The sequence below is a fragment of the Homo sapiens genome, chromosome 5 (assembly GCF_000001405.40).
Source record: "Homo sapiens chromosome 5, GRCh38.p14 Primary Assembly".
NCBI classification, from domain to species: domain Eukaryota; kingdom Metazoa; phylum Chordata; class Mammalia; order Primates; family Hominidae; genus Homo; species Homo sapiens.
In genome coordinates this window covers 14,386,384-14,404,978 of record NC_000005.10, presented here as the reverse complement: position 1 = coordinate 14,404,978, position 18,595 = coordinate 14,386,384, and the positions used below count along the sequence as shown (strand labels likewise).

General features: G+C 42.3%; 1 protein-coding gene across 11 annotated transcripts in view, besides 1 other annotated feature; it reads right to left on the bottom strand.

The window, feature by feature from the left end:
- The window catches only part of TRIO (trio Rho guanine nucleotide exchange factor), a 366,863-nt gene that overhangs the window by 105,226 nt on the left and 243,042 nt on the right, over positions 1 to 18,595 (bottom strand). For all 11 annotated transcript variants that reach the window (NR_134469.2, XM_047417679.1, NM_007118.4 and 8 more), the window contains 10 exons: positions 17,347 to 17,541; positions 17,132 to 17,247; positions 16,300 to 16,366; positions 15,581 to 15,690; positions 14,679 to 14,748; positions 13,989 to 14,078; positions 10,849 to 10,941; positions 7,825 to 7,936; positions 5,909 to 6,099; positions 3,915 to 4,016 (listed from right to left, as the gene is read on the bottom strand). Coding sequence is in view for 10 of the 11 variants with exons in the window: in XM_047417679.1 (XP_047273635.1) it covers positions 3,915 to 4,016; positions 5,909 to 6,099; positions 7,825 to 7,936; positions 10,849 to 10,941; positions 13,989 to 14,078; positions 14,679 to 14,748; positions 15,581 to 15,690; positions 16,300 to 16,366; positions 17,132 to 17,247; positions 17,347 to 17,541 (1,146 nt within the window). In the remaining variant the exon portion in view is untranslated. The remainder of the gene's footprint in view (positions 1 to 3,914; positions 4,017 to 5,908; positions 6,100 to 7,824; positions 7,937 to 10,848; positions 10,942 to 13,988; positions 14,079 to 14,678; positions 14,749 to 15,580; positions 15,691 to 16,299; positions 16,367 to 17,131; positions 17,248 to 17,346; positions 17,542 to 18,595) is intronic.
- Positions 3,977 to 5,176: an enhancer, noted in NCBI's record as "BRD4-independent group 4 enhancer chr5:14399912-14401111 (GRCh37/hg19 assembly coordinates)". NCBI's record gives its function as "activates an origin of replication core promoter dependent on BRD2, P300/CBP, MED14 and CDK7 cofactors, and independent of BRD4, by STARR-seq in HCT116 cells {active_cell/tissue: HCT116}" and the evidence as "EXISTENCE:reporter gene assay evidence [ECO:0000049][PMID:35650434]".

The window sequence follows — 18,595 nt, the reverse complement described above, 5'->3', positions numbered from 1 at the left end:
TCCCTGCAGTTATAATTAACCCGTCATAACTCATCGTAGATGAGGTCACAAAGTGGGGAGCGCCCAGCATTTCTCACTGTGTATCCTGTTTTTGAAAACAGAAAATCAAAGCCCATGTTGGGAAAGGAAATTAAAATTGATCATCCTCTTTCTACAGAAACCGTTTTAACCAGAGGACCTGTCTTTAACATTACTAACAGGTAGTGACAGGGAAAAGAAATGATGGGTAAAGGCAGCCTCTTGCTCCCTCTTCTCCGGAGTGACATAGGACAGCAGGAAAACCAATGTCTTCTGGCGAGGGGGCAGGAAGGAGGCAGGGTGACCGGGGAAAGCGGGGGGAAAGTAAGGGACTCGGGAGAAGAAACTTTTCTAAAAACTACAAATTGGTTGGAATTTAAATGCCTGATAAAAGTATTTGGAAGGTCAACTAAAGAGAAGTACCTGCAAAAGAACAACTGGCAGAGTTTGGAAACAACTGAGGAAAACTGTTAATATGGTTCAGAAATAAAGAAAATTCTCATATGAATTGATCGTTACACTTAGAGAGTAATTCTCCTAACCTTAAAGAAATTAAACGAGGAAAAAAGATGTCAGTTTTTCAGAAATAGTAAGAGAAAGGTAACTGAGGTAAAGTACTAAATACCAAGGTCCTACCTGGCTAAGAGAGGGGATAGTTCATTTCATAATCTGGGTAGTCGCAATCTGCTTAAGACTTAAAAATAAAATTCTCTTTTCCAGACTAGAGAAGTGAAAATAACCAAAATTTTGTTTTACAACTATGAGGACATCATCATCGCCACTACCACCATTCCCATCACGTTCTCTACCACCATAAGCACACACACCAGCAGCACGATACCTCTACTTCTACCACTGCCTACACCCTCACCACCACAACCTGCACCCTCACAAGCTGCACCCTCACCACAACCTACACCCTCACCACCACAACCTACACCCTCACCACAACCTACACCCTCACCACAACCTGCACCCTCACCACCTGTACCCTCACCACAACCTACACCCTCACAACCTGCACCCTCACCACCACCACCTACACCCTCACCACCACCACCTGCACCCTCACCACCACCTGCACCCTCACCACCACCTGCACCCTCACCACCACCTGCACCCTCACCACCACCTGCACCCTCACAACCTGCACCCTCACCACCACAACCTACACCCTCACCACAACCTACACCCTCACCACCACCACCTGCACCCTCACCACCACCTGCACCCTCACCACAACCTACACCCTCACCACAACCTACACCCTCACCACCACCTGCACCCTCACCACCACCTGCACCCTCACCACCACCTGCACCCTCACCACCACAACCTACACCCTCACCCTCACAACCTGCACCCTCACCACCACAACCTACACCCTCACCACCACAACCTGCACCCTCACAACCTGCACCCTCACCACAACCTGCACCCTCACCACCACCACCTACACCCTCACCACCACCACCTGCACCCTCACCACAACCTGCACCCTCACCACAACCTACACCCTCACCACAACCTACACCCTCACCACAACCTACACCCTCATCACAACCTACACCCTCACAACCTACACCCTCACCACAACCTGCACCCTCACAAGCTGCACCCTCACCACAACCTACACCCTCACCACCACAACCTACACCCTCACCACCACAACCTACACCCTCACCACAACCTGCACCCTCACCACCACCTGTACCCTCACCACAACCTACACCCTCACCACAACCTGCACCCTCACCACAACCTGCACCCTCACCACAACCTGCACCCTCACCACAACCTACAACCCTCACCACCACAACCTGCACCCTCACCACAACCTGCACCCTCACAACCTATGCCCTCACCACCACAACCTGTACCCTCACCACAACCTGCACCCTCACAACCCACCACAACCTGCACCTTCACCACCACAACCTGTACCCTCACCACAACCTGCACCCTCACCACCATCTCCAACCTTACTACCATTAAAATCTAAAGTATCTCCATCTACGCTCTCACCACACCATCTAGACCAACAAAATCTGTACCCTCACCATCAACACCTAAACCCTCACCACCATCTACACTACCACTGCCTGCACTAGCACTACCACCGCCTGTACTACCACTGCCACCAAATTCTACACGATGACCTCCATCTACAACCTCACCACCATCACCACCAAAGTCTATGCCACCACCATCTATACCCTCATCACCACCATCTACACCACTGCCACCATCTGTACCCATACCCCCATCACCAAATCTATACCACTACCTTCCTCTACACCCTTACCCTCTCACCACCATCTATACCACCGTGACCACCAAAATCCATACCACCACCATCTCCACCCTCACTGCCATCTAAACTTTCACCGCCATCACCACCACCACAGCGTCTCCACCACCTCCACCTACATCATCATTACACTACCATTCCCACCATCACCATCGCCTGCCTCTCTACACCAACACCATGCAGCAATCCCTGAAATTAATGAGAACATCGTTTCCTTTACTTTCTCCTTGGAAGTCAGAAAGGTATTACCCAAAATTCCCTAGAAAACTTGTACCTGGCGAAGCCTGACAAATAAGAAGAGTCTTATTTGTCAACTGTACCATGAGCATTTACGACATCCTAAATGAAAGTCCAGATCTGGCTAAAGTATCTGTCACTATTTTTTGGAAGCACCTTTTGGCATCTACTACTGTAGCTAGTCTGGATAAGCGGTTTATATAAGTTGCAAGTTTCCAGGTTTTGAGTATACCTTAAAATGTTAGACCTTAGGAAGAAAATACAGTTATTTAAATTTAGCTATCGGTGCAACTGATATCATATAGGGCTTTATGCCAGTACTAGCCAGAGCACATTGGGCTGATAATCACATATTCACTGCAAAACAACCCACTATCACATATGAACAAAAATCTTATGAACACAATGGCTTCCACTGAAGAACAGGCTCTAGAAGGCTGACATACAGGGGAGTAACTCACAGTCACTGAAAATACCAAAGAGATGAAAAAGCATGCAAGAGACACAAGGGGTGACATGCAGGTTCATACACCAGAGTCCCATTACACTCTGGCTCATCTCCCAATATTCGATAAGCCTTAGCTCCACCGTCCCCCAAACATCCCAAAGCCGCTGATGGCATTTCCAGATGGCTCCAAAAGTTCCATCTGTATTTTCTCAAACACAGAGGAGGAAAATACATAAGACAACCTTAGAGCTCTTGACCATTCCCAGGAGAGGTTAGTATAATCAAAACAGAGTTCAAATCAAATATTCCAAGATATTTTCCTCCCCCAAAGACTATATACCCTAAAGCATCCCTAGTGGTTTTGAATTTTAAATCATAACAGTATCAAACCCTGTCACTAATAATCATTCCTCTTTCCCTCCGTCTCCAAACTATTAAGCCACAGAGCTGAGGACTCTGTAAGGACTGTGGGTACGGTTGGCCTCGACTTCCTGTCGCAGGTCCTCAAACACGCACCAGGTGACTTTTTCCTTTCGAAACAGGTCAAGTGCGCAATCAGAGTTTTTGGTCAGTATCTCATTCCTCCTGTACCCTGACTTCCTGCATCTCTTATAGAGTCAATGAATTCAAAGACTGGAAGAATGGGAAAAATATAAAAAGACCTTGCTTCATTTGCCCTTTCAGGAGTCAAGTGAAAGTTTAACTCAAATTGTTTCATCACCAGAACACCAAACTGAATTTATTCCACTATTCTTTTTGTGGTAGTCACCAATCTGAATAGAACACACACACACAAACAACAACAACAAATAATAATAATATGAAAACAACGGAAAAGCAAGCATGGATGGCCACAGTAAATGTTTCAAACAGCACATTCCCAGCTTCAAATGAACGTACCTTAAGGACAATTTTATTATCTGAAGTTGGTGTTCTCCCCACCCACAGTGCAAATTTGCAAGGGTCTCCTTCAACATGTTCTGTGACACCCAACTCTGAGGTCTGGATAAAAAGACAATTATATAATTAGGTGACAGTAAAATTCTAGAAGGATGCAGAACAGAGACCAAGGAAACAGGTTTTGGTTACTTGTGGCCATGTTAGGTTATAAGAACGTCACTAGTGATCTCAGCTGTCATGTGAGTTATAATGAGGACATTGTGTTCTTAGGCTACAGGTGACTGGTTTCATCCTTCGCTTCCTGTGAGCGTCTCTTACTGGAGACCCCAGTGCAGGTCAACGAGCAAAAAATTCAGGGGAAGGAAACCAACATGTGAAAATCCTACTATCTGACAATCAAGATTCGACTATTTGCAATCTTACAAGCAACAAACTGCAAAATGAGTCTTTCCTGGTTGCAAAAGGGCTGCCACCATGTTCTCTTCAGTATTAATGACACAGCTTCCCAGAGGGCAAATGATGTTTTAACAGCTTATTCTCCAATTTCTTTATCAATAGCATTAGCTTTTAGTATTTCATCAATAATTTTAACGGCTAAGAGGCAAAATCCCTCTGTAATATATGCAGAACATGGAAGCATGCAGAGAAAGGTCAATAGCTTCAGCCCCTCCCCCACAGTCAAGGTCCCCCTGATGCATTCTCCACCCCAGCAAAGGAAGTGATTCATCATCCAGAGCTCCAGAGGTAGCCTCTGAGGGAATCTTAACTTCTAAAAGATAAATTAAGTGAAGATGTATTGGCTGCTAAAACAGATGAGCTTGGTCTCTAAAGAGAGATTAAAGCCAGCTAATGAAATTACTAGCCAGCAATGTTGCATTTTTTTCTTTCCAGTCAGAATGTGACCTAAAATGATGTCAGGCAAGCTGTGATCCAAAAGACGATCTCAAACAGAACACAAGCCAAACAAAATGGTATGAAAACCATCATTTGGAACCTGTGAATTCCAGATTATTACTCAGATGATTTCCATACTCGGGGACATTTTATTACCTGAAGAATTTCATTATATATGGACATCACAAAAAGTATGATGTGTAAGTTGTCCAAATTGCAAACATCTACCAGTATTTATAAGAGATCTGCTGTAAAGAAACCCACCTTCTTGGCATTTTCTATTCTTTTCTTGATGATGATTCCTCCTTAGTGCAACCCAATCGTCCCTTCTGCCTGGCCCTGCCCAGCGACCCTGCATGAATAAGCCTCTGAGAAACGGCCCACTAAGTTAGATGGAAGTACACTGGATCCAGAGACGATGCTGCCCTTGGGGAGGCTGGTAAGGCTAGCCAGTGGTCACAAAATGGCAGCAGGTATGTTGCTCTTGCCAAGAAGTACAATGACAGGTTACGAATTAAAATGCATCACCGGATCTGCCAAGCACTCAGGGGCAGCTGTCTCCACATAGCTGGGGCTGTGGATCTTTCAGACTGTACTTTGGCTTAAGTATATTTTCTCTAATAATGACATTTCACTGTTATAAACAACCATAAATTTACTCATGCACTTATATTTCATACATTTATTTTTAAATGTGAGCCACCCAGTAAGGCTGTTTCCATATACTCCAATGTTTATGGTTGAAAAATTAATTATAATAAGAACTTAGTCATAGATATGATTATTTTATTTATAAAGCTAGTTAAGCACACCGGAGATAAATGATTTCACTTATGAAATGTTTTCTTATCCTGCAGTTATATGATACAGGATTTAAGAAGAGCAAGTTTCCTAAGTCTATAAACTCCAGAGCACCCTCTAGTGGACTTGAGGGTGGGAAATAATTTCACTGAAGATGAAAACCCTACCACAATTCAGACTTGAACATTTCAGGACAGATTGGGAGGTTAAACTGAAGACAATGAACAATTCTTCTCTACCTACAAAAAGACTGCAATTGTGTTACCTTTAGACTTACAATTCTGAACGCCTATACTTACAAACAATTTGCTTTTATAAAGGTACTTGCTTCTCCCACTGGAATCTTTCACTTCTTTACTAAATACTAAGGACATTTCAAAAAGGAAGAGATGCCGTTCTCGACCCTTTCGAATTAAGGTTTTTGGGTCCCACACTTGGAAGGATTCCTGTAGGATGAGTTCTCCCTGAGACTCAATGTTTTCATCAAACCCTACAACATGAAAAAAGGGAGGCAAATCAATTTAAAAGAAAAATAAAAACTGATGCACAAGAAAGCATTATTAGTATTTTCAACAATTTTAAAAATGCCCATCGGCCAACCCTAGATAAGAGTTTCCCATCTGATCCTGACTCGACGCCACTGACCCATCCTACAGAGGATAATTCTTCCTAACACACCACTTTACATATATTTTCCTTTGTTCAAAAACATTTTGCGATTCCTCATGGCTTTATTCTTTGAGTTCTATCCCTCTGGTGGGCCTCTGCAACAGTTGAGATCTGGTTCCACCCTCTACTTCTCTTCAGCCCTCTCCTGCAGCATCCCACCACCGAAAGCTCCTCCTCTGAAACAGTTCCGACTCTCCTCTAAGCCCCCACCTACTTCCCAGCCTCCGTCTTGATTCTCTCTGCTTCCTCAGCCCAGAGCATCCTTCCCAGACACTCTGCTCAGGTCCAGGCTTTCTTCAAGGACCTGTCCTGGTCTTGCTTCTTGGAGAAGTCCCTGGCTGCCCATGCTTGGTGCACCCTCCCTCCTCTGAATGTGACAGTCTGCATGTGAATCATTCGTGCTCTGGACTTCACTACTGCTCCTCTCTTCATGGAAGTGGCCTGCTTTATCACCTGGTTATGAAGCCACCAGGGCTTAGTAAAGCCAGCCCTAGGGCAGAGGCTGCCCATTACCTCCTGACTTCCACTCTCTTTTTACTCTCATAGTAGAAGCTCCCACTAGGGCTGCTCAAAATAAGCACTCCATCCCCCAGCCCCAGGAACAGTTAAAAGCAGCTCAGGTACCTACGCTCTGGGCAAGTGAGCAAAGTAGCGGGTACTACTGCTAGTGTCTGCCCATCTGGAGTTTCCTCCCTGACTTTCTTCCCCACTTCCTGCTAAATGGAATGTTGGCATGGTCTTGAAACACCCTGGACCTAGCCAGCCAGAAAAACAACTAGAATGGAGAGAAACTAGCTGGAACACAGCCTGGGTCCTGGATGACATCATGAAGGGCGGCCATACCAGATCAGCATTTTATATCAGAGAAAGAAAAATCTGTTTTGCTTGGCCTCTGAGTTTTGGGTCTTATTACCCACAGTGGCACCTATGTTCAGTGTTACCCATAAAGACACAGGCTAGCAAAAGCATTTGGGGCAGGATTAAAACTTATTCTGTGTAGCCTGGCAAGAACCAAGCTTTGCACAACAGGAAGAGCTTTCTTAAACAGAGGCATTTATGGAAATTATAATTGCTCTAATTTTGAAACATATTTATCTAATTTTCTCTTTACCATGTTACACAAGGAAATATCTGGTGCCTACTATGTTCCAGGCTCTAGCAAGTGATGCAATGGATACAGAGGTGGGGAAGCAACACATTCTTTTAAGGATTTTACAGTCCTGGGGTTTGATCCACCCATACACCCACCTACCCATCCATCTAACAGGGAGAACAGGTGGCCTGCAGCAAGCGACACAAAGTGCTATTGGAGTCCAGAGTGTGGAGAGGCTGTTTTCCAGTGAAGGGACCAGAAAAGGCTTTCAATGAGTATAGAAACATTTTATGTGGTCCTCAAGAAAAGCAATGACACTGATTCTTTAAGAAATGTTCTTAACCACTAACATAGAGACATAAAGCGGGGATTTTTAGGGTTCAGGAAATCCATTTACAAACAGTGTCATTAGAAACTGCATAGATGCACACTGGGGTATGGAGGGTCCTTTACCTTCCAGCATGCTGAGGTGCATGGCATCATTGGCTCGCTTCGGCACGCTGAGCATCACCTCCAGGCCATCTTTAATCTCTCCCTTTCCTTCCTCACAGCACGTCAGCAGCTCCTGCAAAGATAAACAACAGAAACTAGGTAAAGACTGCAGAATGCTCTGCCAATAAGACCTTGGCAGAAACAGTTTATGAAAGCCCATGGCTTTCAAGATAAAAACAGAATGTGGTCAACTGGGCATATGTTCTCATAGAAATAAACTACTACCTCTTTATTCAATGGATGGCAGGGTTTGTCCTGTTCTAATCAGAGTAAGCCAGATGTATTCACAGTTTAAGATGAAATTAGTATACCTGTTAACAATCAAGCCTCAAAAATGATAAACAGAGGCCGGGTGTGGTGGCTCATGCCTGTAATCCCAGCACTTCGGGAGGCTGAGGTGGGTGAATCACTTGAGGTCAGGAGTTCGAGACCAGCCTGGCCAACATGGTAAAACTCCATCTCTACTTAAAAAAAAAAAATTAGCTGGGCATGGTGGCATGCACCTGTAATCCCAGCTACTTGGGAGACTGAGGGAGGAGAATCACATGAACCTGGGAGGTGGAGGCTGCAGTGAGCCAAGATTGTGCCACTGCACTCCAGCCTGGGGGACAGAGCAAGACCCTGTCTCAAAAAAAAAAAAAAAAAAAAAAAAAAAAAAAAAAAAAAAAAAAAGATAAATAGAAATATTTAATTATTATGTAACACACCATCAGCTACTGGTTACAGCTGACTGCCATGTCAGGTCCAACTGTGCGTTTACCACACAATCCCAGCGTGACTCTGCACCTTGGAGCTATGAATGCAATGTCCCATCTAAACCGGACCAGCCAATCCACGCAGCAGAAACAGTAACACCGCATGAGTTACTTACAGTCAAATGCATTTCCTTTTTGCGTAGGATGTTTAGAAAAGCTCTAATGGTTGAATTACATCTCTCTGGGGAGCCCTATGTGTGTGATTACATTGCAAAGCCATTTAGAGAAACATCCGTTATTAAATGAATGATAACAGGAACAGTAAGTTCACCTTCTGGTGGGCTCCAAGATCCTTTTTTTTTTTTTTTTTTTTTTTAGGCGGAGTCTTGCTCTGTCGCCCAGGCTGGAGTGCAATGGCGTGATCTCGGCTCACTGCAAGCTCTGCCTCCCAGGTTCATGCCATTCTCCTGCCTCAGCCTCCGGAGCAGCTGGGACTACAGGCGCCCGCCACCATGCCCGGCTAGTATTTTTGAATTTTTAGTAGAGACGGGGTTTCACCGTGTTAGCCAGGATGGTCTCCATCTCCTGATGTCGTGATCCGCCTGCCTCGGCCTCCCAAAGTGCTGGGATTACAGCCAAGATACTTTCTTATTGGTGTATTAATAATTACTACCAGTCAGTAATAGCAATAGCAGTGTTTTGTGTCTTGGTAGTCAACAAAAGAGAGGTATGACACTGCAGCCAGCACTGGTCTCCCAGTGGTTACTTGAGAGGAACTCAGCTGCCTGATGGGCACCTTCCCTCATCACCAGATGGTGTTTACCTGTGATTCTAAGCAGCATGGCAAACACTGCTCACAAATGCAGTGTACTGAGCCTACTAACTGACAACTGGCAGAAAACCTTCCTTGTTGGGGAGCTCAAGAGAGCTTATCACTGTTCTCCTGAAGAACCTCTGGCAGAGTAAGGCGAGGTTTACAAATTTAAGCACCAGTTTAGCAGAACTACATGCTGAAAACAAAATCCTTACATCTTGAGGACACTGAAAGGTAAACTGCCTTTGTAGAATTAGAAAGCAAAGGACAAATTTGAATATGAACAAATTAGCCTCCTGACTTATTTTGCATTCATAGTAACTATATATTTCTGCGGGAATGGTCACATAATCACTTAACGGCATTTTGATATAAAAGTACAGGAGAGCTTTTCCAATTGAAAAATCCCATAATAGTATCACTTTCACAAAACGATGTAGCTACTTATTACTGTCTGTAGATTTTTCTTGCTAACAAAAAGGGTAAAGAAGAGTTCCAGCATTTGTAACTCCATCTTCTAAATTTCTTTTATATCTAGACAAATTACATAATAACTTCCCGTTGTCGAGCCTAGGGCAGTCCCTGGAACATGGCAGGATTCATAGAATACCATCACTGGGATGAATGCATGTTTCTACATTTTAATGCTTAATAACATTCACCAGCTGAGAAAATGGTATGCTGAACATTACCAGACAAAATCTGTCAATTTTTAGGTAGTCAAGAAAATGTGTATTGATGATATATAATATAAAAATAAAATACATTTTGTGACAACTCTTAGCACAAATTCTAAGTTTTGTTTACCTTTCTATTGTCAAGACTAATCACTATTGTTTTCTTAAATGTGATTTTAACTATAGTCACTCACAACTAATAAAAAGCAGAGGTCAGCCTGACTCCAATACTTGCGGTCTGTATGGACAAGGTGTGCCGCGAGGGGTGTGACATCAGGGACAAGCAACAAGACAGAGGAAGCCTCCTGGGCATGGGTTCTCCGTGGCTTCAGTGGAAGCCCTGGGCATCAGCCAGATCTGTGTTCTGAGCTGAGCCTGTTAACGTGTTTGAGTGGTGATTCTGGGCACACTCCTTACAGTCTGAGGCTAGTTTCCATGCCTGCAGACTAGCATTGTTGGGAGGTTAACATATGCAGAGCGTACCAAAGTGCACCATGCCTGGCCCGCAGTCAGCAAGCCACAGCTGGGAACTAAGGGTACTAAAATATCAAGAACTGATGATTTCTCATTTTATGTTTAGGGTCAGTCAGTGCAGTTCAGACGCATAATCATGACACACACTCTCATTTAACTCCTGCAATGAGAAATTAGGCAGGTCAATAAATACTAATGAATTAAAAAGTAAAATTAATTGACTAGGTGTTTCAAAAAATTCAGGGTAATTATATAAATATATAGTAAATGTCAAAATAATACATAATTCATAAAATTTCACAGGCTGAAGACGCATTATACATACTTTTAAAAGGAGCTGATACTTCGTTATTCGCTGAACTGGTTTAATAAGGTAGGAAGAAATGGAATTGGCTAATCCATGTCGCTGCTGTATCTCCTGTATTAAAACCAAACAAGAAACAAGAGTTATCATAGGGCTACACTATTAAATCATGGCCATAAAACACATTACTTTTCCAAATACTGTACCTGACAACTGTTTAATCATGCTGAAATAATAAAGTTTCCTTTTCCTAAGAGGCTTTTAAATTATTAACACAAACTTCTTTGCTTCTAAAATGTTACTTCTGGAGAGGAAGGGGTACTTTGGAGCAGGAGGATCTACCTTACTGTTCAATTGCACTTTTAATGCCATGATTTGCACTTTGCATTTTGTAATTATGTCCTTTACATGCAATGATCTGTATTGCATGTAAAGGTTGTATTCCTTTACAACTGGTTGTATTCCTTGCTGTATTCCTTGCTGTGAAGACAGGCCCTGTCTGTGCTACTCACCACTTTACACTAGCACCTAAGACAGAGCTTAGAGTTAAATGAGCACCATACAGATGTTCAATAATGCTTGTTACTGGTAAGAAGCATAATCAAAGGTTATCAGATAGCCTGGAGAAGAGAGGAAGCTGTAGAAGAAAGCCTCTAAAAAAATAAACCAACTGTACAAGGAATACTGAAAGCATATAAATTGTGAAATCTCTCAGGCATGATTTCTCTTATTCTTGAAGACATGTTTTAGGGCATAAGGGTTTCTTTTTAAGTTCTGGGATACATGTGCAGAATGTGCAGGTTTCTTACACAGGTGTACATGTGCCATGGTGGTTTGCTGCACCCATCAACCCGTTGTGTACATTAGGTATTTCTTCTAATGCTATCCCTCTCCTAGACCCCCACCCCCCGACAGGCCCCAGTGTGTGATGTTCCCCTCCCTGTGTAATGTGTTCTCATTATTCAACTCCCACTTATGAGTAAGAACATGTGGTGTTTGGTTTTCTGTTCTTGAGTTAGTTTGCTGAGAATGATGGTTTCCAGCTTCATCTATGTCCCTGCAAAGAACATGAACCCATCCTTTTTTTTTTTTTTTCTTTCTTTTTGAGATGGAGTCTCGCTCTGTCGCCCAGACTGGAATGCAGTGGCGTGATCTCAGTTCACTGCAAGCTCCGCCTCCCAGGTTTATGCCATTCTCCTGCCTCAGCCTCCCAAGTAGCTGGGATACAGGTGCCCGCCACCACGCTCGGCTAATTTTTTTTGTATTTTTAGTAGTGACGGGGTTTCACCATGTTAGCCAGGATGGTGTCGATCTCCTGACCTCATGATCCACCTGCCTTGGCCTCCCAAAGTGCTGGGATTACAGGCGTGAGCCGCTGTGCCCGGCCCAAACTCATCCTTTTTTATGATTGCATAGTATTCCATGGTGTATATGTGCCACATTTTCTTTATCCAGTCTATCATTGATGGGCATTTGGGTTGGTTCCAACTCTTTGCTATTGTGAACAGTGCCGCAATAAACGTGTGTGCATGTGTCTTTATAGTAGAATGATTTATAATCCTTTGGGTGTATACCCAGTAATGGGACTGCTGGGTTAAATGGCATTTCTGGTTCTAGATCCTTGAGGAATCGCCACACTGTCTTCCACAATGGTTGAACTAATTTACACTCCCACCAACAGTGTAAAAGCATTCCTATTTCTCCACAGCCTCACCACCATCTGTTGTTTCCTGACTTTTTAATGATCGCCATTCTAACTGGTGTGAGATAGTATCTCATTGTGGTTGATCTGCATTCTCTAATGACCAGTGATGATGAGTTTTTCATATGTTTGTTGGCTGCATAAATGTCTTCTTTTGAAAAGTGTCTGTTCATATCCTTCGCCCACTTTTTGATAGGTTTTTTTTTTTTCTTGTAAATTTGTTTAAGTTCATTGTAGATTCTGGATGTTAGCCCTTTGTCAGATGGCTAGACTGCAAAAATTTCCTCCCATTCTGTTGGTTGCCTGTTCACTCTGATGATAGTTTATTTTGCTGGGGCATAAGGGTTTCTAAAATGGCTTTGATTCCAAACATTAAATGTGCTATGTGCCCTCACTGTTTAAGTGAAATACTTAATACTAAAATATTTCTAACTCCATATACAGGTGCTGAATTTTGTCTGATGGCAAAGACCTAGAATCATGTGAAATATTAACAAGAAAAGGCCACTTTGGCCTGGGAGAAGGCTTCCTATTAACAAAGGCAGTGATGTGTAATGTGTAATGTAATGGTCAGGAGAATGACAATTAAAACAGGGTCATCTACAGGTAGGGCTTCATCTCAAAGATAGAAACTGAAAAGTTTATTCTACTTCCCCAGACTTTCACATAAGAGCTGATGATCCCACCAGTCCATGCACAAGTGTAAAGACAGAAAACAAGTCCAACATCCTCACAACCTTATGCACCAAACTATGCACACTATTCAATAGCACCTTATCCTTCAATCAAAATGTATTGGCACATATTTGACCAAGTTCTGGAAACCCAGAAAGCACTCTGTGTATCACGTTCTAAAGCTCCATCTCTTTTGTGCTGAATAAGCCGCTGCAACAGCTTTCAAAACACAGATGACCTGTATCTACGTTTACTCCAATGAGAACACAATTAGTTAACCTTCTAATTATCCTAGTTGTTATGGCACTATTTGTAAAACTTTACTGGTAGGTTGTTTTTGAAAATTCGTAACATCATGAAATTAAAATAGGAAAAATAAAAAGATTCACATTTATTTTTGTTTTACTGAGGGGGAAAAGAAGCTTAATAGTTTATGCCTTCTGTATACAGTATTACAGGTGAAAAAATGTATTGAATATAAATAGTAATGATATTATAAATGACTGAATATAAATAATAACATATACACACACACAAACATACATCTATATATTACAATCTGAGTTCCTTACAGATATAAGGCTTCCAGTATTTGTGTAGGATCTTTTAAAAACAGAAGACAATAGAAGAATAGCCCAATAGACATGATAGACAAAATGATAGACAAAAATGATAGACAAAAATGAAAACATTGTACTATCAATTAGGTGAAAGTTATGAGTAATGCCGCATTTTATGTACACAACTTGGAAAATTATGGTCTCTTTAGGAATCTATTACTTACGTCAAAATAGGACCCTGCATGTTCCAATATCAGCTGAGTAGAATCAGGCTTATTTTTGCAATATGTGACATACATCTGAAACTTGTCTGCCTGTAAGCCAAAAAAAAAAAGATCTCATTTAAATCATAACAAGTCAACGCATGATAAACTTTCATATAGAAAAGAAGCAGTATGGATAACGGAAATTTAAGCCTCGAGTTGAAGAGACTCTATTTTAAAAAGAAAGCTACTGAAATAAGAAACACATCGTTCTGACAGCATGCAGCTGCAGCAGCCTCCCCGACCCCGACACGTCGGGCTGAGCACCAGTCCTCTCTTTCCACAGTCACGCGTGCAGAGCTGGCTGTGGGCTTTGGACAGCATGACCGCACGTTCACCTGTCTGCCTCCCCTCTAGACTAGACGATCCCCCAGAAGGACTGGGAACTCACCTATCAGCAAATCCCCAGGGTCAAGCGGAGACCTGGCACACTAAATATTCTATTTCAAACCATCACCAGGGCCAATAAAAAAACTCACTCCACAAAAACAATTAGTTGAAGTATGCAATTCTTTGAGGTAAAGTCTATTTCTCCGCAAGCATGGATATGAGCAGAAGATGGTGACTTAAAGGAAATGAAGACCATCCCTCCTAACTTCCTTCAACGTCACCTAATAGCTGGGAGAGAACAAATGGTTGAGGTTTCATTACCCAAGTAACAAAACAATGTCCAACATCCTCTGGCAACTGTTCATATTTTTCCAGCTCCTTTAGGAATATGCTGCAAAGAATAAAAATGGTATCATATTACAAAGGTGTTTTAAAACATTTTACTAGTGAGATATGCCAGAAACTGAGAAATCTGTGCCCCCTAAAGAATGAACAAAACATGTAGCTCTTAACTAGGGTAAGTTATTGTGACTTTCAAACAGCTAGCCAGTTTCGCCTTCAAATGCTTTCTAACAAATTTATTTCTGGGCAAGTGCTAGTGTGTTCACTGAGCATATACTTCGGAGACGTAAATATTTGGCTGAAGACCCATTTGGTCTTTTCTGCCTTCTGCTGAGGGGTGAGGGGACTGCGCTCTTGCTGACCCCAGCATCATCTCATCACAGGCCACCTAAAGGAGCTTCTGCTGCCGCTGCTTTAACAATATTAAAAGAGAATCATGTACCTCCTGTGGCCAAAGGAAAATGCATTTTATTTTGGTCAGAATACACTTCTGTTGCTTCTTCAGTTCCTTTCTCTTACTATAAGAGAGCAAACAGCATAGGCCTGCAGTCCCAAGGGGGCTCCACTGTCTCTCAACCCTCAGAAGTAAGTCACAGGGCACCTGACGGCTCGGCTTCAGAGAAATTAAGCTTCCTATAAAAATATTTTCATAGTTTTCCTGATCTTATTTCTGTAGAAGATAAGTACAAACATAAAGTTGAGTCTGTATTAAAAGAATTTCTAGAATGTCAGTCTTTTTGGAGAAAGACTGATAGGCTTCATTCAAATGGAAACAAAATCACTGAAATCTGCTTAATTCAATGGGAATGGTTCATTTCTTGTGATGAAACTTCAGCACATGGATTTCAAGCGTAACTGCTCCCAAAGAAAAAGCCACTCACTTATTATGAAATTCGTAGATTTCTTGCATGTTTCCGAAGATGATGAGTTCTTTGTTTACAATGCCAGGTGGAATCTCTTCCACGCCACTGGTCATTTCCCACAGGTACGTCTAGCCGAGAGGGAAACAGGGATTAGACAAAAATAATCACCATATTTTCAAGAAACAGCTGTTTCTGACATCTGTAAACACACAGAGTTAATGTATAAGTGAAAGTATAACTAAGGACTGGACCCTTTTACAAAACATAAAAAACCCTTCTAAAAAAGGCCCTCAGTTGCTGTTAATACTTGAGAGGAGTTCCTATACTTTTCAACTCTAAAATTATTCCCAGCTTCAAATTTTGGAATTAACCTACTCCACAAGTATAACCAATATTCCTGATACCACTGAGTATTAGTTGCCAGTCATAATTAGTAGGCACATTTCTCTGAAGCTGCTGTACAATTCTATACAAAGAGAGTGTTAGCCAGGCCATCATGTGATAAACAGAATGAGAGGATTAATGCTGTATCATCTCTGTAATGAGTGAAAAACAAACCTAGAACTCTACAGAAGTGCAGAAACATGAAACCGGCTGCTGAAGCATACTTTACATTTAAAAAAATGACAGAAAAAAATTGTGATTATTCTAAGGACTACCAACAGGTAAGAATAAAATAGCAAGCTTATGCTCAATCTAAATAAACAAGCAAAAAAAAAAAAAAAAAACTTACTTACATCCATACATTCCCGGAGGTCTCTTACATAAGCCTTTTCAGTTTGAATGAGCTCAGCCATTATGAACCTTAAAGAGAGGAAGACAGTGAGGAGTACAGTCAGGGTGCAGCTTACTTCACTATCTACTTTTATGGATTTATGAAATAACAGAGTGGGTCTAAAAGTATTAGTCTTAGATTGATCATTTTGGAGAGGTGAATCACAAATAGAACAGTATCCACCCGCTAATTCAAAGGGGAAAAAAAGATTTCTGCACACACTTTACTGAGGTACCGACAGATCAGGGTTTCTCAACCTGGCACTGTGGACATCTGGGGCCAGGTAACTCTGCTGTGGGGCTGCCCTCTGCACTGGAGAGTGCTCAGCAGCTTCCCACTAGAGGCCAACAGCACTCCCTCCCCCTCCCCACTGTGACAACCAAAGTGTCCCCTCACATTGGGGGCAAAACTGCCAATTAAGAACCACTGGATTAGAGCACTCTTTTTTATTTATATAGAGTTTACTAACTGGCAACTTTTACACAACTAAATTTGTTTTAGGCGTGATAAAAACTATTAATTTCCTCTCCTTAGTGTCACTATCTATTAATGACAATTCATCAACTCCAAATGAAACACAGGCACAGGGATAAAAACTAGATGCTGTTTCTGAACCAGGTGATAAGAGGACAGTGAACGCAGCGAAGTCTGTGCTGACACAACTAAGTCCACCCAGAGCAACAAAAAGCCTGGGTGCCATGTGACTTCAAAGCACACACAGAAGCATGTCTGTCCAAATGACATTCTCTTCACTTTTCCAGTGAATCCTGGTAGATTCTGAAAGACTGGCTTACTCTTTCCTGCGGGCAGATTTCCGCTTCTCTTCATTAAGTTCATGAGCAGCATCTCGAAGTTTCACCTCTGAGCCAGGGATACTGGCTGGAATGATATCTAGCTGGAGACTTTTACTCTGTGGAATAACAGAGCCAATGAACTCAGTTAATTAAATCAGCAGAGAGGGCGTTAGGAAGAAGACCATAATTTATTCAGTTTGCACAAGGCCATTTACCGATTTGTTGGAATCTGAAGAAATCCCCAGGGCTTTTTCCAAAGAGGTCCTGTACTTCTCCATCCGCAGAGAGAAATCTCTGTACCTCTTATCCACAGCAGTAACACATTTTTTTATCTCTGCCGCATGGGCATGCCCTTTTTCACAAAAGCCATCAGCCAGCTGTATCAATAGCTTCACTCTCTCTTTGGTTTGCTGCAAAAAACAACAGGAAAGTATTGTGAGGCAAATGAATCCGACTGCCAGAAACCTCAAACACAGTGGCGACTTGACTCCAACTCTGAGCTCTGAACAGGAAAACCGGCTGATGGTAGAAACTGAGACCAAAGCCCCAGGTCCACCCACTCCATCTCCCGGATTCCTGACCAGCTATCTCTCCTCAGCTCTGCTACAACGAATGGCATTTTTATGACCTCAAAGAATAAACTTAGACTATTTTTCAGCAACGTCTTCATCTAGGAGGTGCTTAGTAAAAATGTGTAGAATGGATGCATGGAGGAATGTATGCGAAGAACGCGGTCTTCACAATGCTGCTACTCTCCTCAAAGCCGCTGAGCAAAGACAGCTCCTCGCTCTATGCATGTTTACTCTTTGTGCCCAACTGGACCCACAGCTCTTTCGGGGCAAGCAGTCATCTGACTTTTTGGTTTTCCTGAAGCATGTGTGGCCACGGCTGTCCCCACAGCAGGCACTCAACAAAATTCCTCATGAAGCTCCTCTGTGTCGTGTTGATTGCTTTAACTCTCAGAAAATGTGAAGGAAAATTCACTAGTCAGGAAATCATCTATATAGAGGTACTGTAAATTTTGTTTCCCTGTTTGAGAGCTCTCTCTAAAATTATTCTATTTTGTATGTACACAGAAAAGATCTTTCATTAAGTTAAGCATAGTTTATTATTTTTCACAGAGATACACAGACAACCATACAACAAGTTATATATACCATTTGGCAACCTCACTCAACTCTGACTTCTCAACAGCTCTCTCTCTTCACATCCATTTCGATGGTTATTACTATTAGGCTTCCTTTGTTATAGTGTTTTCAAATAAGTGAGTTACTCCTCTTCTATGGAACCTGCTATTCTCCATTAAGCTTTAACTAGAAAATCTTTTTAACACATATTCAGGAAACTGACTTTAAAAATCCCCAAAAGAAAGAAGGTCGGAGTTCAAAACCCAGATAAATGATCTTAGCTTGTAAAATCAAAGTTCTAAGCCATAATTCACTGGGTAACCTGTGAAGTCAGCTG